The sequence below is a fragment of the Homo sapiens genome, chromosome 22, assembly GCF_000001405.40.
Source record: "Homo sapiens chromosome 22, GRCh38.p14 Primary Assembly".
Classification (NCBI taxonomy): Eukaryota; Metazoa; Chordata; class Mammalia; order Primates; family Hominidae; genus Homo; species Homo sapiens.
The window spans coordinates 31,707,330-31,733,903 of NC_000022.11; the positions used below are offsets into that span (position 1 = coordinate 31,707,330).

The following is a 26,574-nucleotide window of genomic DNA, read 5'->3' on the forward strand; positions in this document are numbered from 1 at the left end:
GTAACTACCATCTATCCTAACCTCAGGAACAAACAGTTTGGAGGAAGTGGCACAACCTATTTTTTTTGGGAGACGGAGACTCGCTCTGTCGCCCAGGCTGGAGTGCAGTGGCGTGATCTCGGCTCACTGCAACCTCCACTTCCCAGGTTCAAGCGATTCTCCTGCCTCAGCCTCCCGAGTAGCTGGGACTATAGGCATGTGCCACTAAGCCCAGCTAATTTTTGTATTTTTATTTTTAGTAGAGATGGCGTTTCACCATGTTAGCCAGGATGGTCTCAATTTCCTGACCTTGTGATCCACCTGACTCAGCCTCCTAAAGTGCTGGGATTACAGGCGTGAGCCACTGCACCTGGCCGGAAGTAACACAATTTAAAGCTGTGTGCCCTAAACACATAGCAGAGCAATTATGAGATTTTAGAGGCATATCAACAAAGTAGACAATAAAAGCAGTACACCAGCATTTAAAACAATGTGAATCACTCTAACGTATTTTCATGGCTGTCTTTATAATAAGAGAACTTTTAAAAATAACTCTAAAGGCCGGGCGCGGTGGCTTACGCCAGTAATCCCAGCACTTTAGGAGGCTGGGGCAGGCAGATCACCTGAGGTCAGGAGTTCAAGGCCAGCCTGACCAACATGCAGAAATCCCATCTCTACTAAAAATACAAAATTAGCTGGATGTGGTGGTGCATGCCTGCAATCCCAGCTACTCAGGAGGCTGGAGTGGGAGAATCGCTTGAACCTGGGAGGCAGAGGTTGCGGTGAGCTGAGATTGCACCACTGCACTCCAGCCTGGGCAACAAGAGTGAAACTCCATCTCAGGAAAAAAAAACAACAAAAACAAAAACTGTAGGACATGTACTTGTAACAGCAATTCATCTTTCAATTCTAGTCAGCAATGTTCATGTTCTGGGTTTTTTTTCTGACACTCTTCTATTCATTCAGTTTTCTGCTAAGATGCTCAGGGAACTACACAATACAAACCAGCAGGTTTGTTGTTTATTTATTTATTTTTGAGACAGAGTCTCACTCTGTCGCCCAGGCTGGAGTGCAGTGGTGCGATCTTGGCTCACCCTAACCTCTGCCTCCTGGGTTCAAGCAATTCTCCTGCCTCAGCCTCCTGAGTAGCTGGGATTACAAGCATGAACCACCATACCCAGCTAATTTTCCTGTTTTTAGTAGAGACGAGGTTTCACCATGTTGGCTAGGCTGGTCCTGAATTCCTGACCTCAGATGATTCGCCCGCCTTGGCCTCCCAAAGCGCTGGGAATACAGGCATGAGCCACCATGCCTGGCCACCAGCAGTCTTGTTGCTGTTGAAATTTTCTTGAGACAGAGTCTCACTTTGCCGTCCAGGCTGGAATATAGTGGCACGATCTCGGCTCAGTGCAACCTCTGCTGATTCTTGTGCCTCAGCCTCTGAGTAGCTGGGATTATGGGCATGCACCACTACATCTGGCTAATTTTTGTATTTTTAGTAGAGATGGGATTTATTTTTTTATTTTTTATTTTTTGAGACGGAGTTTCACTCTTGTTGCCTAGGCTGGAGTGCAATGGTGCAATCTCGGCTCAGCACAACCTCCAACTCCTGGGTTTAAGTGATTCTCCTGCCTCAGCCTCCCGAGTAACTGGGATTACAGGTGTGCACCACACCCGGCTAATTTTGTATTTTTAGTAGAGATGGGGTTTCTCCACGTTGGTCAGGCTGGTCTCGAACTCCTGACCTCAGCTGATCTGCCCGCCTTGGCCTCCCAAAGTGCTGGGATTTTAGGCATGAGCCACTGTGCCCAGCTGACATGGGATTTATTTCTCTAGGTTGCCCAGGCTGGTCTTGAACTCCTGGCCTCAAGTGACCCACCTGCCTTGGCCTCCCAAAGTGCTGGGATTACAAGCATGCGCCACCACACCTGGCCTATTTGTTGTTGTTTTTTTTTTTTTTTGGAGACAGAATCCCGCTCTGTTGCCCAGGCTAGAGTGCGATGGCACGATCTTGGCTCACTGCAACCCCGGCCTCCCAGGTTCAAGGGATCCTCCTGACTCAGCCTCTGAGTAGCTGGAATTACAGGCATAAGCCACTACACCCAGCTAAAATTTTTTTGTATTTGTAGTAGAGAGAGGGCTTCACCACGTCGGTCAGGCCCGCCTCGGCCTCCCAAAGTGCTGGGATTACACACGTGAGCTACTGCACCCAGACGCCTGTGGGGTTTTTTTTTTTTTTTTTTTTTTTTTTGAGACGGAGTCTTGCTCTGTTGACAGGCTGGAGTGCAGTGGCACGATCTCGGGTCACTGCAACCTCTGCCTCCTGGATTCAAGCGATTCTCCTGCCTCAGCTTCCCAAGTAGCTGGGACTACAGGTGTGTGCCACCATGCCCAGCTAATTTTTGTATTTTTAGTAGGGACAGGGTTTCCCCATGTTGGCCAGGCTGGTCTCGAACTCCTGACCTCAGGTGATCTGCCGGCCGCAGCCTCCCAAAGTGCTAGGATTACAGGCACGAGCCACGGTGCCCAGCTTCCAGGATGGTCTCGATCTCTTGACCTCGTGATCTGCCTGCCTCAGCCTCCCAAAGTGCTGGGACTACAGGCATGAGCCACCGTAGCCAGCCTGTTGTTTTTTTAATTAAACATTTTGGAGACAGGGTCTAGCTCTGTTGCCTAGGCTAGAGTGTAGTGGTGTGATCCTGGCTCACTGCAACCTCTGCCTCCTGGGTTCAAGCAATCTTCCCATCTCAGCCTTTTGAGTAGCTGGGACTACAGGCATACACCACTATGCCTGACTAATTTTTGTATTTTTTAGCAGAGACAACGTTATGCCATGTTTCCCAGGCTGGTCTCAAACTCCTGGACTAAAGAGATCCACCTGCCTTGGCCTCCCGAAGTGCTAGGCTTACAGGCATGAGCCACTGCGTCCCGCCTGAACCAGTCCACTTTACTGACACACAATGATTCTACATTAGAGACACACAATGAACAAGGCCCTCCTAAGCTATTTGGAATATTAAGGCTTTTTATTTGATGTCTAATTTGTCAAATACAGCAATAGTAAGGGCAAATTAAAAAATATTTTGTTTACTTAAATAATTACAAAGAGGAGAGTTTATCTATCATGTGTATAGCAGCTCTTTAGGGATTCTTTTTTTTTTTGAGACAGAGTCTCACTCTGTCGCCCAGGCTGGAGTGCCGTGGCGTGATCTCGGCTCACTGCAAGTTCTGCCTCCCGGGTTCATGCCATTCTCCTGCCTCAGCCTCCCGAGTAGCTGGGACTACAGGCACCCGCCACTATGCCCGGCTAATTTTTTTTGTATTTTTAGTAGAAACGGGGTTTCACGGTGTTAGCCAGGATGGTCTCGATCTCCTGACCTCGTGATCCACCTGTCTCGGCCTCCCAAAGCGCTGGGATTATAGGTGTAAGCCACCATACCTGGCCACTCTTTAGGGATTCTTGAGATGAGTAGTTTAACTCTCAAATTCTTTTTCTTCTCTTATTTTCAATTAGAAGGTACAATGATATTGACGAAATTATTTCCAACTATTCTCAGTGATCACACCCCAAGAACTCCTTCCCAGTTCACTTTAAGTTCTATAAACCCTAAAGCTGAAGTATGTAAATGCCAATTTTTGAAGCCTCTACATTGCCAAAAGGCAGGGGTTCATAAACCATATCTGGTGATACCTGTGTAATTTATTCATTAACTAAAAATATATTTATTCTGTGTTCTCTACATATCAGAGTTAGGTGCTGGCTGTTTAGTGCTTTGTGAAGGAGATAATGTTACAAGCGATTGTGTGTTACTATTTATAGTTTTTCACTTGTAATGGGTGTTTGTTTTCTGCAAGATGGGCGCAAGAGTAGAAAAGAAGATTCAGCTGGGTGTGGTGGCTACCGCCTGTAATCTCAGCAATTTGGGAGCCAAGGTGAGAGGATCACCGGACGCCAGGAGTTCAAGACCAGCCTGGCCAACATGGTGAAACCGTCTCTACTAAAAATACAAAAATTAGCCAGGCATGGTGACACGTGCCTGTAATCCCAGCTACTCGGGAGGCTAAGGCAGGAGAACCGCTTGAATCCGGGAGGCAGAAGTTGTGGTCAGCCGAGATTGCGCCACTGCATTCCAGCGTGGGTGACAAGAATGAGACTGTTTCAAAAAATAAATAAATAAACAAATAAATAAAAGCAGCCTGGTTGGCTTATGCATGCAATCCTAGCACTTTGGGAGGCCGAGGCAGGTGGATCACCTGAGGTCAGGAGTTCAAGACCAGCCTGACCAACATGGAGAAACCCCCGTCTCTACTAAAAAATACAAAAACTTAGCCGGGTGTGGTGGCGCATGCCTGTAATCCCAGCTACTCAGGAGGCTGAAGGAGGAGAATCGCTTGAACCCGGGAGGCGGAGGTTGCGGTAAGCCGACATTGCACCACTGCACTCCAGCCTGGGCAAGAAGAGTTAATCAAAAAAAAAAAAAAAAAAAAAAAAGAAGATTCAACAGATTTGATGGTTTGAAGAATGAAATGGACAGAAAAAAGAATGGTGTGAAATACAGAAGTAGGTTCTACAGGAAAACTGAGCAGGGGGTGGGGGTCCTATGCTTAAGAATTACTATTGGATTTTTCTCAGCAGAGATTTCGCAAGGTAAATAGAAAATGCAGACCCAAGAGGACTCTAAATAGCCTTGCATTTCCCGCAGTTCCCCTCTCATCTCCCCAGAGACAGGAAGCAAATATGGGACATTTGTAAAGAACAGGGGACAGATTTTACCTGCTTGTGGTGCCCAGACTTGGTTGCCGCTTGCAGTGAGGGGAATGAAGAGAAGAGATTTCGAAGGAGCAGACAGAAGGACCATGCTGGCTCCAAATGGATAGGACTCTGCCCACCGAGTAGGGCAGAGAACAGAAGACCTTGTCTGCTATGGAGGCTGGAGACCGTAACCCTTTCAGGCCCTGTGTAAACTGGGTCATGAAGAGCCTCTGCATGGTAGGCATGTGGCTGGAGAAGCTCCGTTTTTTTGTCCAGATTCGGTAACATCCTGGGGAACAAAGTGCTAGAAGTGTGTGAAGGCCAAGGACAGAGCAGTCTGCTCTGGTCTGGACTATGGCAGTGCCTCCATAGTCTTGGAGAGGAGCTGGAGGCTGGGGAGGAGCCTGAGTGTGGGTCTGACTATGGACGCCAGTGTCTTCCCTGAATGTTGCCATCCCAGGGCAACCGTGGGACAAGAAGAAAGAAAAGGTCCACTTGGGAGGTTGAGACGGGCACTGGAGGGCCTCTCCTAAGGCAAGCCTTGCCGGAGCACAGTGCTCAGGAAAAGTCCTTGAGGACTCAGTCGTGCAATCTGAGCTGGATGATTTCACATGAAAGGATACTGGGAAGATTTCAGAACCAAACAGCAGGGACGGCATCTTGTTGCTCAAATCTATGAAGGTCATCTTGATGGATTCGAGAGAATAAAGTGCCATGGGCTTACTGTTAGGCCTCTTATCCCATCCACTAGCTGCCAAATATGGATTCAGCTGCTCTGTGCTGGATGAAAATCCGTCCAGGAGTCTTTTATATCTGAGGCGCTTGTAGCTTTTAGCCATTGGAAGAAGTTCAGAGGAACACCGTCGGTATCTTAGCTTCTGAGTCTTCATGGCTGGGGCCAGTTTGGAGGCAAGGATGGACAGCTTGTTTAGTAAGGCTGATTCTTTGGTAGTCTTCCTAAAATTCAGGCTCCTCAAGGGATGGCACGGTGTAGACATCTGCTTTGGTATGTGACTAACCAAGCTCTTGGTAGGTGCTGTTTCAGGTTCTAATCGTGTAGGTGCAGACAGAGTACACAAACTGAGAAGTCTGTGCGCTTTTGTGGGGATGGGATTGGAAGAACTCTTTAAAAAGGCAGAACTTCTGATTTTACCTATTTTTCTCCCAACAATGATTTGCTCCTGATAGGAAACTTTCTTACAAGTTCGATGGGGCTGCTTCTTTAAGGGAAGAACTCCTTTCTTCGCAAAGGCACCATGTATTTGATCACACCCAGCAGAGGAGGGGTCTTGTGCTTTCCGAGGGGCACCAAGAAGGCAAGGACTTGTGCATGACTCAGTGTCCTTCCTTAATGGATGATGTAACCTTTCCTCCTTCTGGTCTTCTAACTTCTGAGTCTGTGCCACAATGCTGTCCTTGGCCAGCTTTGCTAGGGTGATTTCATTGATCATGGTGGACTCATCTTTGTCAGCCTTCGGTTGGTTCTGATTTTGTGCATCATCTAACAACAGACTAGATGATATGCACTGTTGCGATATCGTATGTGCTTTTTGTTGACGTATATATTTCTCTTCTTTCTGCAACATGTAGTCCAAAACCTCAGGGCTCTGCTGTTTTTCAGCATGATTAAGTATCCCCCGGCATTTAAAATGGGTCTGAGAGATGTTGCTCACGGGATCGCCATCGCCAGTTTCTCTGGTAACCAACTCCTCAGATTGCTCCCCAACAGTTAAGTAACCCAGTCGTCCCCTCTGATGCTCTTCGGTTTCTTCTCCTTTCACTTTAATATCTGTTTTCACTGTCAAAGGCAAATGTCTGTCAGAGGAATTCTCGTGAGGGTGACAAGCTTTGCAAGCATTCTTTTCCACACAGGTACATACGCTGTCTCTGTCACTAGAATTACTCCAATCTCTTGATACTATTTCCTTCATCTCAGGAAGGACTGTGCAGTCCTTTACATTTTCACAAAGCATTTCACCATCTTTTGGTTTACAAAGATTTTTCAGGTCAGTTTCTTCACTGTTAACATTAGTTTCTGAATTTTCTTGAGAAGGCATTATTTCAATGGATTTCAGGCTTCTTAGGGAAACAGAGCTTTCATCATGGCAAGACATCGACTCTTTTGAGGAAATTCCAAAGGTACTTTCTTTGCCAAACTCAGAGTTTGGTTCTAGTCTTGATCCTTCAGTCATTTCTTGTGTTTCTCTGAGAGATGTTCCTTTATCTTGCTGTCCATAATGGCTATCATTTAAAGACAAATTTACTCTGCCCAATATTCTTTTATTTGGTTCATGATCTGCAACAGACTCCATCTCATGGGCACAAGAGTCTGGACACTTTTCCATTTCACAGTCTTTTAAAGATCTGCATACGTTTTCTTCACATGATTTTTTTATTTTGAGAAAGTCCACTGTAGAAGCAGCAGTAACTGGGAAATCTGAATCCTGACCAGTTGTTCCTGTATGTGCAGCATCCAGTTCTCTCCGAGACAAGGTACTCCTGGAGTCCTCTTGAAATGCCAGTTTCTCTTGCCTTGCACCACAATCCAGTAGATTAGATGCCTTCACGTCCAGCACACCTTCTGCAAGCTTATTACTACAGTCCGTGTAGACGATGTCTACCATACCTTCTGTGGACTCATCACAACCAGACATCTTGACAAAGGCTCCTTTCAAATTGCATTTCTTTGGACTACCACAAGGTAGTGAGTTATTACTGCCTGAGCTGACCAGCAGATCCTTTTGGTTGTGGTTTACCTCCCCGTGAGGCTCGGTGACAGTCTCTCTCTGGTCACTACTTAGCATCTCCTTGGCTGACTGACCTTCACTTTTGCATTCATCTGGTCTGTTTTGGTTACTCTGACAGTCAAGGACTTCATCTGCCTTCTGATCGAGTGTTTCAACTGATTTTACATTTTTAAAACTGGAGAACATAACAGTAGGAGACTGGTCCAACACTTTTTCAGGACCTGGAATGTTTACAGTCTGGTTTAGTTCTTGTATAGCATGATCAGAGATGTTATACTTACAAAATACAGTTTCTTTGGATACATCCTGCTCCTTTCCTTCCAGCCCTTCCTCACTGAGTTTGATGCTACTGGAGGTGTGAATGGTTTTGTTTGAAATTCCACTATTTAACAAGCCTGCTACCATTTTGTTTCTGATCTTATCTCCTGGAAGGCTGCCATTCGTTTCTTTCCCATCAAGTTCCCTTTCCTGTGATGTGTAACTCACTTTACAGCTGCTTTTTTCCACAGAGTGTCCTGTTCCTTGGCAGCAGTGATCACGGTGCTGAAATGCATTTTCATATTTTGTTATCAAAGAGTTATCAACTTGCAGGCTGATTTTGCTGGACTTGAAAGCAGCAGAAGCAGAACACATGTTTTCCTGGGATACATTTTTTCTTACACGATGACAGCTAGAGATATCCTGAGATTGAACGCTGTGACATTCTATGACAGAGACCACTTGAGGAAAGCCAGCTGCTTCTCTCTTATTTGAGCGCAGCCTGGAATGTAGAGCTTTTGTTCCTGAATCAGCCATTTCCTTTTTTCTCTCTAGGCTTACTGGTTTGATGTTTAAGGTGGGACAGTTTGAAGAGGCACCACAGGTTTGGTTACCTGGTGGAGAGATGTCTTTTATTTTTGTCTGAATGGGAATGGTTTGTATATCAGCAATGACATCTGCTCTACCCTCTAATGGAGGGTGATGGCTCTGATGGGCATCTCTGCCTGTTGCTAAAGGCATCTCTTTGTTTAAATGCAGTAGAGAGTCAGTTGGCAAATTTGCATGTTCTTGAGAATTAAGGGACACTTGTTGATTTAAAACACATTCACTTTCTACTTTGTTTACAACCAGTTCATTGGTACAAGAAAGTTCATTCATCTCACAGGCTATGCTCTGTTCATCTAAAAGTGGAATATCATCATGTGAGGTCTGTATAACTTTTTCTGACTCAGGTCTGTAATCAAATTCTGGGGATGGTAGCAACAGAGCAGTACCTTGCTTGGGTTTTAATACCTCACTTACAGGACTTATTTGATCCTCTGGCATTAAACTCACAATGGATTTTCTTTCAAACAGAAAATCATTACATGATGCTTCATTTAACTGGGTGTTGCCTTCCAGATTTCTCTGGATGCTGACTAAGGAGTTACAGTCTTTAGTGTAAAAAGATTTACTTAATATATTGGGCTCTACAGGGGTTGTCTGTCCTGCCTCTTCAATCTGCATCAAGGAGGAAAAACTGCTTTCTTCAGAGTGTCCACCAGGATGGCTCATATTAGTAAAAGTTTCTTTATGGTCCTCAGGGTTTGTCAAGTTACCTTGAACGTGTACAGTAATTTTCAAATCATTTTTATTTAACATTACTTCTGTGGCTTCAGTAAAAGAATTGGGCATTAAAGAACTAGAGTTCCCTGTATGGAGACTGTCTTGAATGCAGTTATTGTGGATATTTTCCTTTGGAGAAACAACAGGCTCTTTTTCACCAGAACAACGACCACTAATCTCCTTTTCTGGTTCCCTGGCATTAAAAAGAAAAGGTCCACCTCTTTCACTCCTAGGAATCAAAAGCCGTTCCTCATTTTCTTCTCTAGAAGCCAAGTTCTTCCCTTGATCATCCCCCCTATAAAAATAAGAACTGTCTGTCTTTTCAGCAGATCTCTTTAGCAAACCACCACCTTCAAAACCACAGTTTTCTAAGGATATTGTTCTGGATTCTGGACCAGACAAGTCTGATGTGAAACATGAAACTTCAGAATTTTCTTTCAAAGGGCTTGTGGCTGTGGGACTATCATGTGTAGAACTGGGTTGTTCATTATGGTGGCCATGAAGCTGTTGGTGATTGTCATCTGCTTCACAGACCAGGTTTGGTTTACACAACTCTTCCTTCCCATTGTCCACATTAGAAATGGCACTGTTTCCTGGTAATGACAACCAAGGACAACTTTTTAATTCTTCACATTCTTTTTCTTTAGGAGTTGCTTCTGTTAATACAGGGTCCACAAAGGTTAAAGGTTCTGGGGTAACTAATGTGCTGGTTTCTGAAACCTCATCACTGGTCATGATTTTGTCTACTTCTTGGAATTCACCGCATCCAGCTGAGAGATCTTTACTCACATTGCCATTTTTGTGTCCTTCATTATTATCCGTCTTAGTCCCATTGACCTTCATACCTTGTACTTCGGCGGATTTTAGCAGAGTTTCAGCTGTAATCTGTACATTTCCTTCTGAATAAGAGAAATAAATCCAAATTAATATGCAGTAATAAAAAATCACTTGGTCTACCTTCATGCATTTTATTATGCTATGCTACCAAGGGCAACAGAAGACCCAACTCAAAAAGAAAACTGGAAAGTTAGCATGCTATACCATTGATTTTGTTCTTCTCTGAAAATATAACAGAGGGCCAAAACTATATCTGGCAGAAACGTAATTTTCAACAAATGCCTCTTGCTGAAAGTTTAATACAGAGTTCACAGATCAATGCTGGACAACTGAATACAACATAGAAATATGTTCCTATGTTGTATTCTCATTCAGTCTTAAGAGGCTTTCATTTTAAAACATTAATAAAGCAGACTCACAATAACAGCTTATTTTACTAGATGACCATGTTCTCAGTACTTGAAATTAGATGTCATCGATAAAATTAGTCCTTGGAAAAAAACAACTATACCTAAAACTTTATTTATTTATTTACCTATTTATTTTTTTCAGACAGAGTCTTGCTCTGTTGCCCATGCTGGAGTACAGTAGTGCGATCTCAGTTCACTGCAACCTCCACCTCTCAGCTCAAGCAATTTTCCCGCCTCAGCCTCCTGAGTAGCTGGGATTCTAGGTGCCTGCAACCACCCCCAGCTAATTTTTTTTTTTTTTTTTTGAGATGGAGTCTTGCTCTTGTCGCCCAGGCTGGAGTGCAGTGGCACGATATTGGCTCACTGCAACCTCCACTTCCTGGGTTCAAGCAATTCTCCTGCTTCAGCCTCCTGAGTAGCTGGGATTACAGGCACCCGCCACCATGCCCGCCTAATTTTTGTAGTTTTAGTAGAGACGGAGTTTCACCATGTTGGCCAGGCTGGTCTCGAACTCCTGACCTCAGGTGACCCGCCTGCCTCGGCCTCCCAAAGTGCTGAGACTACAGGCATAAGCCACCACGCCCGGCCCGCCCAGCTAATTTTTTGGGGGGGTTTTTGTTTTTGTTTTTGTTTTGAGACAGAGTCTTGCTTTGTCGCCCAGGCTGGAGTGCAGTGGCGCAATCTCGGCTCACTGCAACCTCCGCCTCCCGGGTTCATGCCATTCTCCTGCCTCAGCCTCCCGAGTAGCTGGGACTACAGACGCCCACCACCACACCTGGCTAATTTCTTTTTGTATTTTTAGTACAGACAGGGTTTCACCATGTTAGGATGGTCTTGATCTCCTGACCTCATGATCCGCCCACCTTGGCCTTCCAAAGTGCTGGGATTACAGGCGTGAGCCACCACGCCCGGCCTGCCCAGCTAATTTTTTTGTATTTTTACTAGAGACGGGGTTTCACCATGTTGGCCAGGCTGGTCTCAAACTCTCGACCTCAGGTGATCTCCTATTAGTTCTGTTCCCCTAAGAGAACCCTGACTAGCACACTATACACATGAACATGGGTATATGTACACATGATTTTATATATATATATAAAAAACAGGACAACTGTATTAAACAGAAAAAGCAAAATGCAAATCTATTTAAAGATCGGCCAGGCATGGTGGCTCATGCCTGTAATCCCAGCATTTTGGGAGGCCGAGGTGGATGGATCACACGAGGTCAGGAGTTCAAGACTAGCCTGGCCAACATGACAAAAACCCATCTCTACCGAAAATACAAAAATTAGCTGGGCATGGTGGCACATGCCTGTAATCCCAGCTACTGGGGAGGCTGAAGCAGGGGAATCGCTTGAATCCAGGAGGCGGAGGTTGCAGTGAGCCAAGATCATGCCACTACACTCTAGCCTGGGTGACAGAGCAAGACTCTGTCTCAAAAAACAAAGAACAAAACAAAACAAAACAAAACAATCTAATTCCTGAGTTTGATGCAGTACCTCACAATGGTGACCCCAGCACTTTGGGAGGCTGAGGCAGAAGGAATGCTTGAGCCCAGAAGTTTGAACCAGCCTGGGCAACACAAGGAGACTCTGTCTCTACAAAAAATTTAAAAGAAAAAAAAAAATCAGCTGAGCATGGTGGTGTGTGCCTTTAATCCCAGCTACTTGGGAGGCTGAGGCAGGAGGATGCTTGAGCCCAGGACGTCAAGGCTGCAATAAGCTGTGATTGCACTACTGCACTCCAGCCTGGGTAACAGAGTAAGCGACCTTGTCTCAAAAAAAAGAAAAAAAAAAAAGAACAAAAAATCTAAAATCTAATTCTTACTAGAATGTAAACTCTGTGAGGGTAAGGATCTTGTTTTGTTCTCTTCCTTATAGTTCAGCATAATGCCTGGTATATAAAAGCACAAGAGCACTTAATAAATATTCACAAAATTAATGAACGAATATAGTTAGGTCAAATAAACAAATGTTATTAATACCAAGTTTCTAGGGCTTCCCTATCCATTTCTCAATAGGTCCTGAGAGCAGCAATTACTGTGAGAAAGAGCCCTGACTGTGAAGCCAGACCAGCTAAGCTTCAATCATGGCTCTGTGACACTTTTTTTTTTTTTTTGAGACAGGGTCTCGCTTTGTTGCCTAGGCTGGAGTGCAGTGGTGCCATCATGGCTCACTGCAGCCTCCAACTCCTGGGCTCAAGTGATCCTCTCACCTCCGCCTCCCAAGGAGCTGGGACTGTAGGCACACGCCACCATGTCCGGCTAATTTTTGTACTTTTTGTAGAAACAAGGTTATTTATGTTGCCCAGGCTGACCTTGAACACCTGAGCTCAAGCAATCCTCCCGCCTCAGCCTCTCAAAGTGCTGGGATTATGGGTGTGACTCACTGTGCCCTGCAGCTCTGTGATACTTACCTCTAAGCCTTGGTTTCTTTTATTGTAAAAGGTGGGGAAAGTACAATTACCTCAGTGCTATACTGAGGATTAAATTAAATAATGCATGTAAGATGTCATGTGGGACAGTGCCTGCTATATAAAAGGTGCCTTTCTTTTGCTCTGTTTTTTTATTTTACTGGACCTGAGAACAGTTAAAATAGAATAACTAGGCTAGACACAGCGTTTTAAAATGTTTGGAGTCAGCAAATATTAGATTAACAACTATATACTGCAAGCCACAGGTTTTCAGATACCAATCATTTACAAAAGGCAGCCTCAAAATCCTGATTCAACACACAATACTTATCATTGTGAAATTAGCCTGCTTTCCCTATTACAGCAGACGGTGCTACCCTATTCAAGAATTTGTAAATACACAGCTGGGCGTGGTGGCTCACACCTGTAATCCCAGCACTTTGGGAGGCAGAGGTGGGCACATCACTTGAGATCAGGAGTTCAAGACCAGCCTGGCCAACATGGTGAAACCTTATCTCTACTAAAAATACAAAAAAATCAGCCGTGCACGGTGGCAGGCACCTGTAATCCCAGCTACTTGGGAAGCTGAGGCAGGACAATCGCTTGAGCCCCGGAAGCGAAGGTTGCAGTGAGCCAAGATCGTGCCACTGCACTGCAGCCTGGGCGACACAGTGAGAACCCATCTCAAAATAAATAAAATAAAATAAAAATAAACATCCAGTTCTCCAAATTATATAAGGTAGATTTTCCCTCCTTGACTACTTTCACCTCTTCCTCAAAATATATTTCCTGAATGCTCTTCCAATTTCTGGTGACCCTCCTAAATAAGTCTTCATGGAAATCACTACTGTGGGAATTAAGTCTCACAATAATGAGTAGGAACTAATATTGCCATTGTTCCTGATACCATTTCACCTTTCTTACACATAAACTTCCCAGACAAGCCCAGTTATAGGGAACTCTCTGAAAAACAAGATAAAACAAATAAACTTGATAACATCAGTTTTGTAAAATTAACTAAACAGAAAATTATGTTGAAAGAGGCATATTAAAAGTCAGGACAGCCGAAAGGGTGAGGAACCAGCAAGAGTGCCTGATGGGGAAGATCTCCCATGATGGGGAAGATCTCCCCTGTGAGATGGCCAGTCAACTCAAACACTCCCACCACTGCTCCCCCAGGTCCACTTCTCATGTGTCTGCCCTACAGCAATCAAGAAATAAGGAATGATAGGCAAAAGTGCATCCTACCAATTAAAGGCTCCTTCTGGTTATTACAACAAAAGTCCTTTTAAAAGGTTCAATCTGGTCAGGAGATCGAGACCATCCTGGCTAACATGGTGAAACCCTGTCTCAACTAAAAATACAAAAAATTAGCCGGGCATGGTGGCAGACGCCTGTAGTCCCAGCTACTCGGGAGACTGAGGCAGGAGAATGGCGTGAACCCGGGAGGCGGAGTTTGCAGTGAGCTGAGATAGTGCCACTGCAGTCTGGCCTGGGCGACAGAGCAAGACTCACAAAAAAAAAAAAAAAGGTTCAATCTGTTGCCGTTTTAGCTAATTGAGCAGCAGCAAGCAGCAGACATATGATTGTGCCTATAGCTTACAATTATCTATTACATATTTCAAAATAGCCAGAAGAGAAGAATTTGAATGGTTCTACCATACAGAAAAGACAAATATTTAAGGTGATGGAAATCCCAAGTACACAAGTTGATCTTTTCAAATTATACGATGTATTATCACATATACCCCCAAACCATGCACATTACATATCAATTAAATAAAAGAATCCCAAAACTCTGGAATACCATGGTAATTTGATAGTACTGACAGTGGGACATTTATATAGAGAAGTAAAAATAATGCACTGAGGGGAGAGTGTAGTAGCAGAGGTTCACTTACTAAACAACTTGGTGCAGGGGATCCCAAATCATTCCTCAGCCAATTTATAATTACACTGAAGTCCTCCCACTCAGAATAACCAAAACGTAATAAATAAAATCAAGTAAAGTAATTTGCACAGTGCTCAACCATGCAAACACTTAATGAAACAAAGGTAGTAAGTATATATTAGATTTTCATCGAGAAAACTTAAATCTGGGCCGGGCGCGGTGGCTCACACTTGTAATCTCAGCACTTTGGGAGCCTGAGACGGGTGGATCACCTGAGGTCAGGAGTTTGAGACAAGTCTGGCCAACATGGTAAAACTCCGTCTCTACTAAAAATACAAAAAAATCAGCCGGGCATGGTGGCACGTGCCTGTAGTCCCAGCTATTTGAGGCTGAGGCAGGAGAATTGCTTGAACCCGGCAGGCGGAGGTTGCAGTAAGCCAAGATCGTGCCACTGCACTCCAGCCTGGGTGACAGAAAGAAAAAAAAAAAAAAAAGAAAGAAAACTTAAATCTGGGTGGGGCAGAGTGAAGATTTTGGCAGCTGGAGCCCTGGAGACAAGCTTGGTTTCTAAGAGGCATCATTCAGTTTTTTTTTTTTTTTTGAGACGGAGTCTTGCTCTGCTGCCCAGGCTGGAGTGCAGTGGAGCGATCCCCGCTCACTGCAAGCTCCACCTCCGGGGTTCACACCATTCTCTCGCCTCAGCCTCCCAAGTAGCTGGGACTACAGACGCCCGCCACCATGCCTGGCTAATTTTGTTTTTTTTCTTGTATTTTTAGTAGCGATGGGGTTTCACTGTGTTAGCCAAGATGGTCTTGATCTCCTGACCTCGTGATCTGCCTGCCTCGGCCTCCCAAAGTGCTGGGATTACAGGTGTAAGCCACTGCGCCCAGCCGGCATCATTCAGTTCTTAATTCCACAGTAAAGATAAAGTAGCAGATGCCTGACCTTGGCAGAGCAAGCCAAAATGCTGGCCACACTACAGAAGAGAACGTGGGTCTATTTAAATCAAATCCATGGTGATGGCATATATTGCTCATGCTCCCAGGGCTCAACATCTTCACAGGCCTGTCTCCACAGAATCTTCTTCTCTGGCTTGCTATGACTGGCTATGACTTTGGACAGCTGAGCCTGCTTCCTCACATGCAACACAGGAATACCCTGGAATGTTCTTGGGGGACAGAATGAACTAGGCCATTGCTGCTAAAAACTCTAGTAGAGATGCTGATTTCAAGCTCGCCTATACCAAACTGAGACCCTTATCCATGGGTTTGGGGGAGAAAAAAAATCAAATATTTTACCAATTTAAGTCATTAAATAAGCATGATATTAGAACATGAAGAAAAGTGTCACAGAGTAATTTAGCTGCAGATACTGTTCAGGAGAGTTCATCTTATCTATGTCCAATGTGGACCAGCTTCTTAGGTGGAGAGTAGCCAGGTAATTTTGAAAAGGCAGATTTCCAAGCAGAAAATAACCCTGGTTCTCCTGTTTAAAAGGCCAGTTCAGTGGTTAAATGAAAGTGTAGTTCAACAGACAGTAAATTCTGTGGTAAGATGTGGGTGAAAATATACCAAAGACTGAATACAGCAATACTGGAGCCCAACTAAACAGATCTTGGGGGTGGGGTTAGGGGCCCACTAAACTGTATCCCTAGTAAGCCTCTAAGAACAGGGTGAGATTTATGTACAAAACACCATTTCTCATCTTCGGAGGAATGTCCTTTAATCTACACTGGACAGTGAAGCCTCTGAGCCACAGAAGAAATCTGCAGCAGCAGGAAGCTGGGTGATAAACTGGGACAAATGTCCTTTTTCATAAGAAAGATTGGTGCTTCCTTTTCTGTCCAGGCTGCCGAGAAGCTAAGAGTCAAATCTGATGTTTCATCACAGTAACAAAATAGTCATATAATTTAATGCAGCAGTCCCCAACCCTGGGCCATGGACCAGTACCCATCCTTGGTCTGTTAGAAATCGGGCGGCACAGCAGGAGGTGAGAAGCAGGCAAGTGAGCAAAGCTTCATCTGCATTTACAGCTGCTCCTCATGCTTGCATTACTGCCTGAGCTCCGCCTCCTGCCAGATAAACACTAGCATTATATTCTCATAGGAGCGTGGACCCTATTGTGAACTGTACATGCAAGGGATCTAGGTTGTGAGCTCCTTATGAGAATCTAATGCCTGATGATCTGTCACTGTCGCCCATCAACCCCAGAGGGGACCACCTAGTTGCAGGAAAACAAGCTCAGGGCTCCCACTGATTCTACATTATGGGAAGTTGTATAATTATTTCATTATATATTACAATGGAATAATAATAGAAACGAAGTGCACAATAAATGCAATGCACTTGAATCATCCTAAAAGCATCCACCCCACCAGATCTGTGGAAAAACTGTCTTGCACGAAACAGGTTCCTGACTCCAAAAATGTCGGGGACCACTGACTTAGCGTATTCACTTTATCTTCTCTTTGTGAGGTTCTGAGACAGGGTCTTGCTCTGTTGCCCAGGATGGAGTACAGTGGTGTGATCACGGCTCACTACAGCCTCAACCTCCCAGGGCTCAAGTATCCTTCTGCCTTAGCCTCCCGAGTAGCTGGGACCACAGGTGTGTGTGCTGCCATGCTAATTTTTGCATTTTTTGTAGAGAAGGGGTTTCGCCACATTGCCCAGGCTAATCTCAAACTCTTGGACTTAAGCAATCCTCCCACCCTGGCCTCCCAAAGTGCTGGGATTACAGACGTGAGCCACTGTGCCCAGCCTGATGATTCTGTATTAGCCTTGACACATAGACCTCTCTAAAGTAATCTAAGTTTATTTTTAGCCTTGGGGTGAGAAGAGGAGAACCTTACCTCAGCTACTCTCTTTTGGACCTCAGCTTCCTCCTCAATCAGTCAACCAACCTAAAAGTAATAATCTCAGAACTCTATACCCAACCATTGTTTTGAGGAGCAAAAAGAGGTAATCAAACTGCCTTGAAAACTCTCAGGGTGACCTGGAGTAAACATTTTATCTCATCCCTGACCCCACAGAACAAGAAAATGATACACTACCACATGCTGAACTATACTGGGTACATGTCTCCCCTGTTCCAGTTAACCCTTCTAAACAGGCAAATACAGTATATTTGATGATATAAAATCCAACAAAGGTTCAACACACTCAAAAGAAAGGGACTTGCTGGGTGCGGTGGCTCATGCCTGTAATCCTGCACTTTGTGGGGCAGAGGCAGGAGGATCACTTGAGCCCAGGAGTTCGAGACCAGCCTAGGCAACATGGTGAGACCTTGCCTCTACAAAATACAAAAAAAAATTTACAAAATCAGTCAGGCATGGTGGGTCACGCCTGTAGTCCCAGCTACTTGGGAGGCTGAGGTATGAAGATCACTTGAGCCCGGGAGGTTGAGGCTGCAGTGCACTGTGCAAGTACATCCATGGGCAATACTAAGATACGATCTACAGTGAAGTTACAGTTTCTATAGTTAAGTACACCTTACAAGGCAAGGACTTACAACCCTTATATTCTCAATGCAAAATGGAAGCGGAACTAAAACAGTATTTGCAGTAAGTGGATAAAGGAAGAGATTTGAGAGAAATAAATACCTTTGCTCCTTAGAAAATCTTCAGGGAGGTCCACATGTGAAAGTTCTTTGCTGGACTGCATCAGGAGATCCTCCTACAGTAAGAAAATCCAGTGGTCAAGGGGGATTCAGAAGATTCTGAGTTAATGAATATTATTATTATTATTATTTTTTGAGACAGAGTCTTGCTGTTCCCAGACTGAAGTGCAATGGTTAGATCGTGGCTCACTGCAACATCCACCTCCAAGGTTCAAGGTATTCTCCTGTCTCAGCCTCCCAAGTAGCTGGGATTACATGCACCCACTACTACGCCTGGCTAATTTTTGTATTTCTACTACAGACAGCGTTTCACCATGTTGGCCAGGCTGGTCTTGAACTCCTGACCTCAAGTGATCCGCCCGCCTCCGCCTCCCAAAGTGCTAGGATTACAGGCGTGAGCCACCACGCCTGGCTGAATATTAGTTATTTTTGAGAGACTTCTTTATGACTTTGGGAAATTAGCTAGCAGTCACAAGGATTGGGCACTGAAGGAAACCTCAAATTTAAGTAAGGGTAAACAATAAAAATTTCTACTTATCTAGAATTTGAGCCTGAAAACTTTTTAAAGTTGTGACAATAACAGAGGTCTAAAAAAAACTTTTTTAGAGGCAGAGGTTGCAGTGAGCCAAGACTGTGCGCGCTGTCAGCTCACTGCAACTTCTGCCTCATGGGTTCAAGCAATTCTCCTGCCTCAGCCTCCCAAGCATCTGGGATTACAGGCGCCCACCACTATGCCTAGCTAATTTTTATATTTTTAGTAGAGACAGTGTTTCCCCATGTTGGCCAGGCTGGTCTTGAACTCCTGACCTCAGGTGATCCACCTGCCTCGGCCTCCCAAAGTACTGGGACTACATGCGTGATCCACTGTGCCCGGCCTAATTTTTGTATTTTTAGTAGAGACAGGGTTTCACCATGTTGGCCAGGCTAGTCTCAAACTCCTGACCTCAAGTGATCTGCCTACCTCAGCCTTCCAAAGAGCTGGGATTAAAGGCATGAGACACCGCGCCTGGCCAAGAAAATATTTATCTGTAGTTATATTTGATCCTTTCTCCCAAATGTTACTATTCTCTGCTTTTCCAGTTCTCAGGCTGAATGTTTGAGGTGTGAGAATAGATGCTATTTAAAATATTCTTTCAAGTTAACACTTCATGGAAAAGGGAGAGTGCCTGAGTTCTGTTCCAACCCAAGGACTCTCACCTACTAACTACATGGTGCTGACAGCAACCTTACAAGTGGCTGAAAGAATACATGGAAACCATATAAAACACCCAGCAAAACACCCAGTCAGGACAGGGTGCTCCATGAGCAGAAGCTTCCATTCTTCATGAGACTGTAGACACCTGTTATCCATCCCGTTCTGTGAGAAAAGCCAACAGAGCTGTCACGGACAGATTCTGGCACGTTTCTGGAATGACTTCCATAAGCTTTTCCAAGGCTATTGGAGCCTCTGTAAAGTGACAGCACAGGCCAGTGACATACAGGCTCCTTCAGATCCCAAAGGTCTCTGGTGAGCTAATGCAATGAAATCTTAGTGGATCCAGCCCCAGAGGGGTTGGTGGGATTTTGCTTCGTCCCACTTGTGGCTCTAAGGTGCCGCTAGCTGGAGGCCCCAAAATACCCTGGTGGAGTGCCAAGCCCACTGTTTCGACCATGTTCCTTTTCCTTGATTAGCCACAATTCTTTTTTTTTTTTTTTTGGAGATGGAGTCTCACTCTGTTGCCCAGGCTGGAGTGCAGTGGTGCGATCTCGGCTCACTGCAATCTCTGCTTCCTGGGTTAAAGCGATTCTCCTGCCTCAGCCTCCTGAGTAGCTGGGACTACAGGTGCACGCCGCCACACCTGGTTAATTTTTTGTATTTTAGTAGAGACAGGGTTTCACCGTTGTTGCTCAAGCTGGTCTCGAACTCCTGAGCTCAGGCAATCCACCCACCTTGGCCTCTCAAAGTGCTAGGATTACAGGCGTGAGCCACCATGCGCGGCTGATTAGCCACAATTCTTAACAGGGAAAGAGAGACTTCCTCCCTGACTTATTGACTTCTCTTAAAAGGTTCTGAGTTAAGAAAAGCAAGTTATCCCTCACAGGAAGGCTGGAGACTCTACAAGGTTTGTGTTAATCTGAAATATAATCAGAAATTGAATGAATCAGGGCCGGGTGCAGTGGCTCACGCCTTTAATCCCAGCACTTTGGGAGGCTGAGGTGGGTGGATCACCTGAGGTCAGGAGTTCAAGACCAGCCTGGCCAACATCATGACACCCCATCTCTACTAAAAATACAAAAATTAGCTGGGTATGGTGGTGCGTGCCTGTAATCCCAGCTACTAGGGGTGCTGAGGCAGGAGGATCACTTGAACCCAGGAGGAGGCTGCAGTGAGCCAAGATCATGCCACTGCACTCCAGCCTGGGCAACAAAGCAAGTCACTGTCTCAGAAAAAAAAAAAAAAGAAAAGAAATTGAATCAATCGACAATAAAAGAGTGTGGGCTGAGGTCAAATGTGAGAGACCTCCCCCAACAGCCTTACCATGGTGGTGGGCAACCTCCAGATCCAGTGGGAGCTCTGCTAGTCTGGGCTCCTGAATATGGATGAGGGCAACAGAACAACCTACTTGGATGCAATGGACATGTAACATGATAACCTCTGTAACGTCCCCCACCTGCTCCAAAATAGCCAATCATATGATGAACTAGCAGAAATGTATCAGATGCAATTTCCTTTTTCTACAATATTTTATCAGCTAAATGTTCTAACTTTCAGGATTCCTAAAGTTAAGAGTCCTAGGGCCGGGGGCAGTGGCTCACACCTGTAATCCCAGCACTTTGGGAGGCCGAGGAGGGCGGATCACCTGAGGTCAGGAGTTTGAGACCAGTCTGACCAACATGGAGAAACCCTGTCTCTACTAAAAAATATATAATTAGCTGGGCATGGTGGCGGGTGCCTGTAATCCCAGCTACTCTGGAGGCTGAGGCAGGAGAATGGCTTGAACCCAGGAGGCGGAGGTTGCAGTGAGCGGAGATCGCGCCACTGCACTCCAGCCTGGGTGACAGAGACTTCATCTCGAAAAAAAAAAAAAAACGTATACTACGCTTTTGTATGTTACAGTTAAAAGACAATTCAGATTGTGCCACTGCACTCCAGCCTGGGCGACAGAGTAGACTCCATCTCAAAAAAAAAAAAAAAAAAAAATTCTGAACTTTTTCTGTGTCTGAGTTGAATACAACCAATGTATTGTATCCTAGAACCAAAGTGTTTACAACATATTCAACCCAGGTGGATCTACCATTATGGGGAAAAAAATATGTAAAAAGTTTAACACTCTATAGCTTATATGTAAGCACCAAAAAAACAAACAATAAAAACCAAGCATGGTATAGAGTTCTCAATGCTAAATCATCCATGTGGGATGTCACATGTCCATCTCTGATTATCTTTGGTGCACAGTTCTTAAATAAGACCAATCTATTCCACATCCTTGCTAGTAACCTTTGCATGCGTAACAGATTTTGACCTTCCTCCTACAAGAGTGGAGTTCAGAACTGAATACATTCTTTCACAATTCAGCTTGGCTCTTGCAGCTGTCCCTTCCACTGTGCCTGTTCTAAGATAGTTCACCCTCAGCAGGGTGATCTTGATCAAATCCCAAAATTATTAGTTGCAAATTTATTTATTTATTTATTTTTGAGACGAAGTCTCGCTCTGTCGCCCAGGCTGGAATGTAGTGGCACAACCTCCGCTCACTGCAAGCTCCACATCCCGGGTTCACGCCATTCTCCTGCCTCAGCCTCCGGAGTAGCTGGGACTACAGGCACCCGCCACTACGCCCGGCTAATTTTTTGTGTGTGTATTTTTAGGCGAGATGGGGTTTCACCGTATTAGCCAGGATGGTCTCGATCTCCTGACCTGATGATCTGCCCACCTTGGCCTCCCAAAGTGCTGGGATTACAGGCGTGAGCCACCACGCCCGGCCTAGTTACAAGTTTTAATAACTTTGGGACACGATCCTAAGACAGGAAATTATTATTATTTTACTGGTTTAACTTCTCATGATTGAAATATTTGTTTCATGATTGGAATATTTAACTTTTAAAAATATTAAGACCAGTAACAAAACAGCAAATACCATATGATTCCACTTGAATGATGTACCTAGAGTAGTCAAATTCATAGAGACAGAAAGTAGAATGGTTGTTGTCAAAGACGGGGTAAGGGGAGAATGGTGAGTTACTATTTAATGCGTACTGAGTTTCAGTTTGGGATGATAAGAAAAGTTCTGGAGACGGATGGTGGTGATGGTTACACAACACTACGAATGTGCTTAATGTGACTGAACTGCATATTTTTGGGCCGAGCACGGTGGTTCACGCCTGTAATCCCAGCACTATGGGAGGCCGAGGTGGGCGGATCACCTGAGGTCAACTGTGAAACCCCATCTCTACTAAAATACAAAATTAGGCAGGAATGGTGTTGCATGTCTGTAGTCCCAGCTACTTGGGAAGCTGAGGCAGAGAACTGCTTAAACCCAGGAGGCAGAGGTTACAGTGAGCTGAGATCATGTCACTGCACTGGGAGAACAGAATGAGACTCAGTCTAAAAAAAAAAAAAAAAAATCGCCGGGCGCTGTGGCTCATGCCTGTAATCCCAGCACTTTGGGAGGCCAAGGCGGGTGGATCACAAGGTCAGGAACTCAAGACCAGCCTGGCCAGCATGGTGAAACCCTGTCTCTACTAAAAATACAAAAATTAGCTGGCCATGGTGGCACGTGCCTGTAATCCCAGCTACTCAGGAGGCTGAAGCAGAAAAACTGTTTGAACCGGGACCCGGGAGGCGAAGGTTGCAGTGAGCTGAGATCGTGCCACTGCACTGCAGCCTGGGCTACAGAGCGAGACTCCGTCTCAAAAAAGAAAAAAAAAAGAATACCACAGAAGTGATGTTGGTTCTCCTCATGGTGTCCTATTGGGGGCAGTGTCCTATCAGGAGGCACTGTCCTATCACGGTGTTAGGGTGCCTCATTCCTGGGGGCAAACTTCTATCACTTGGTTTGGGTGGATTCTGCCAGGTTTCTCCATTGTGAAGTTACTATTCCACCTTTGTAACTAATAAATATCTTGTAGGGAAATACTTCGAGACTATGTAAATATTTGTTTCCCAAACATTTAGCCACTAGCTTTAACAACCATTAATGATTCCTGCTTGAGATAATTATTATTGTGATGGTTGCCAAACAGTGTTTTTTCTATTTCCATCATTCCATATATATTAATTGGAATTCTGTAAGACCTTTCTTTTCTCACTTTTAATTCAATTACAGTGAAAGGATACAAAGAAAGTCAGCAAACGGGCTCATGGGTATTTGTCTTATTCTATGGGTACTACAGGTTGCTGCAAAAGTAAGTGTCGAATAATTCATCACTATCATTTATTTTAAGCTCAAATCATCCCATACTTGGCCACTGGGAGCCCCTTCAAGTTGGCTGCTGTGTCCTTCTGATATATCCCCATAATTTTCTGAGCATTTGGCCACAAATTGCTCCGGGCACATCTTGCGTTTTTCCCTCTCCTGTCCTGGAACAGCCATTTCTCCAAGGAATCTTGGTTTCTTTTATCGGAAAAAAGTATTTAGAGCCAAGACTAGGTGTGCTCATTGCTACAAGGTGTCTGTTGCTACCTCTAGGCCCTATCGTATACACTCAAGTATTTCCATTTCTATGTGTATATATTAAGAACCCCATGTTAGGCTGGGCGCCGTGGCTCATGCCTATAATCCTAACACTTTGGGAGGCCGAGGTGGGCGGATCACGAGGTCAGGAGATTGAGACCATCCTGGCTAACACGGTGAAACCCCGTCTCTACTAAAAATACAAAAAATTAGTTAGCCAGGCCTGGTGGTATGAGCCTGTAGTCCCAGATACTTGGAAGGCTGAGGCAGGAGAATTGCTTGAACCCAGGAGGAGGAGGTTGCAGCGAGCCAAGATCGCACCACTGCACTCCAGCCTGCGTGACAGAGTGAGACTGTCTCAAAAAAAAAAAAAAAAAAAAAAAAAAAAGATAACTCCAATTCATGGAGTTCATGTTTGGGTCAGGGTTCATGTTTGCCACCCCTCCTTTGTAATTTATTTCTCTGAGAGAAAACTGGCTCTCATTATCCACATATATTTACTTATTTCCCCAATCCTAGAACACATATAGGCATTTTGTTTAGAAATGGCTAAGTCCTACCCCTGTGAGAAACAAATTTACTAATATTTTCTATTCTTTTTTGACTTTATTCTTTAAGAGGATATAGTCGAATTACTGTTTGCTAAAGTAATGTGGGCTACCCTCCCCATTGGTTTTGTTATTCATTTGTAATACAGTTAAGACTCACTTGTTATAGTTTCTATTCAGCTTTGGGCCCATCTCACATCCCAGTTGTCTAGTTAGTTATTTTTCAAGTATGAAGTTAGAACTATACCAAAAGATGTACTTACAGAAGTGCCAGTTTCTCCTACCCTTTCTATTCCATTTCCATTCCCCCATTCTTTCAGGATAGGTAATCAAATTCATTAGTTTCTGGTTTATCCTTCCCATGTGTACTTGTGTATAGGTTTTATACAAATAAGCAGATACTTCTATATATGCTTATTTCCTCTTCTTTCTTGCATGGAAAGGACAACACTATAGATATTGATTTGCATTTTTTACTTAACAGCATATCTTAGTTTACAGAAGTGAGTCAACAGAGCAGGCCTGACTGCTGTCCTTAGAAAGGTCTACCTGCAGGGTCAGCCTTAGCTAGCATCTGGGAACTAGAGTTTGGGAGTTTCCACCATTCCCTAAACAGGAGTGTCTCACTGTGCCTACACTATAACGTGGTTTATGCTAAACACCTGCTTTCCTTCTAGGAGTTGGAAATTTTGCTATGTGCCAGGCAGAGGATGTCCATGCAACCAGTCCCCAGTAAAATCCCTGAGCACTGACCCACTAACAAACTTCCATGGTAGACAATATTTCATACGTGTTGTCACAATTTGTTCCTGAAGGAGGTTAAGTGTGTATGACTCCACTAGGAAAGGACTCTTGGAAGCTTGCACTGGATTTCCTCTGGACTTTGGTCTATGCCTGCTTCCCTTTTGCTGATTTTCTTTGTATCCTTTCACTGCAATAAACTGTAGCTGTGAGAACAACTAAATGCTGAGTCCTGTGAGTTTCAGCAACTCTGAAAACCTGCTGGTTTTGGGGACCCCTGACACACCTGGAAATCACTCCATATCAGTATATAGAGATCTTCCTTGTTATTATAGCTGGATAATACTCCATGTATGTAAATACCTTATGCCATAATGTATTCAATCTCTCTCCTATATATGGGCATTTAGGTTGTTTCCAATATTTTGCAATTAAAAACTGCTGAAAAGAACAACCTTGTGTATTAAGTATTGTTATACTGCTAGAAGTGTATCTTTTTTTTTTTTTTTTGAGACAGAGTTTTGCTCTTGTCACCCAGGCTGGAGTGACAATGGTGCAATCTCGGCTCACTACAACCCTTTCTTCTGGGTTCAAACTATTCTCCTGCCTCAACCTCCCGAGTAGCTGGGATTACAGGCGACCGCCACACGCCCGGCTAATTTTTTGTATTTTTAGTAGCGATGGGGGTTTCACCAGGTTGGCCAGGCTGGTCTCGAACTCCTGACCTCAGACCTCAGGCAATCCACCCATTTCGTACTCGCAAGTGCTGGGATCACAGGTGTGAGCCACCGCGCCTGGCCACTGTTTTTTTTTTTTTTTTTTTTTTTTGAGACGGAGTCTCGCTCTGTCACTCAGGCTGGAGTGCAGTGGTGCCATCTTGGCTCACTGCAACCTCCGCCTTTGGGGTTCAAGCGATTCTCCCGCCTCAGCCTCCCAAGTAGTTTGGATTACGGCCATGCATCACTGCGCCCAGCTGATTTCTGTATTTTTAGTAGAGACAGGCTTTCACCATGTTGCCCAGGCTGGTCTCGAACTCCTGATCTCAGGTGATCCACCCGCCTCGGCCCCCCGAAGCGCTAGGATTACAGGCCTAGAAGTCTATCTTTTAAGGCAGGTTTCCTTAAAGTGTTCGGTGAACAGGTCGAGGCACCAATAGTTTTGTTAAATGTTGCCAAACTGCTCCTCAGAAAGGTTGTATCAGTTTGCATTCCCACCAGCAATGTATTAGAATGTCTGTTTCCTCATAGCCTTGCTTGAACCAGATACGTTGTCATACATTTTCATTTTCACCCATCTGATAGTCAAAAAGCGACACCCTTAAATCAAAGGGAAAAAAGTGGTATCTCTGGTTAACTTTGCATTTCTCTAATTACACGAGGCTGACCATCTCTTATGTTTAACCACCACCA

General features: G+C 44.6%; 1 protein-coding gene across 1 annotated transcript in view; it reads right to left on the reverse strand.

Moving 5' to 3' along the window:
- The window catches only part of PRR14L (proline rich 14 like), a 68,786-nt gene that overhangs the window by 25,983 nt on the left and 16,229 nt on the right, over nt 1-26,574 (reverse strand). The window contains exons 3-4 of the mRNA NM_173566.3: nt 18,209-18,281; nt 4,754-9,962 (exon numbers count right to left, since the gene is read on the reverse strand). Of these exons, the coding sequence (NP_775837.2) occupies nt 4,754-9,962; nt 18,209-18,281 (5,282 nt within the window). The remainder of the gene's footprint in view (nt 1-4,753; nt 9,963-18,208; nt 18,282-26,574) is intronic.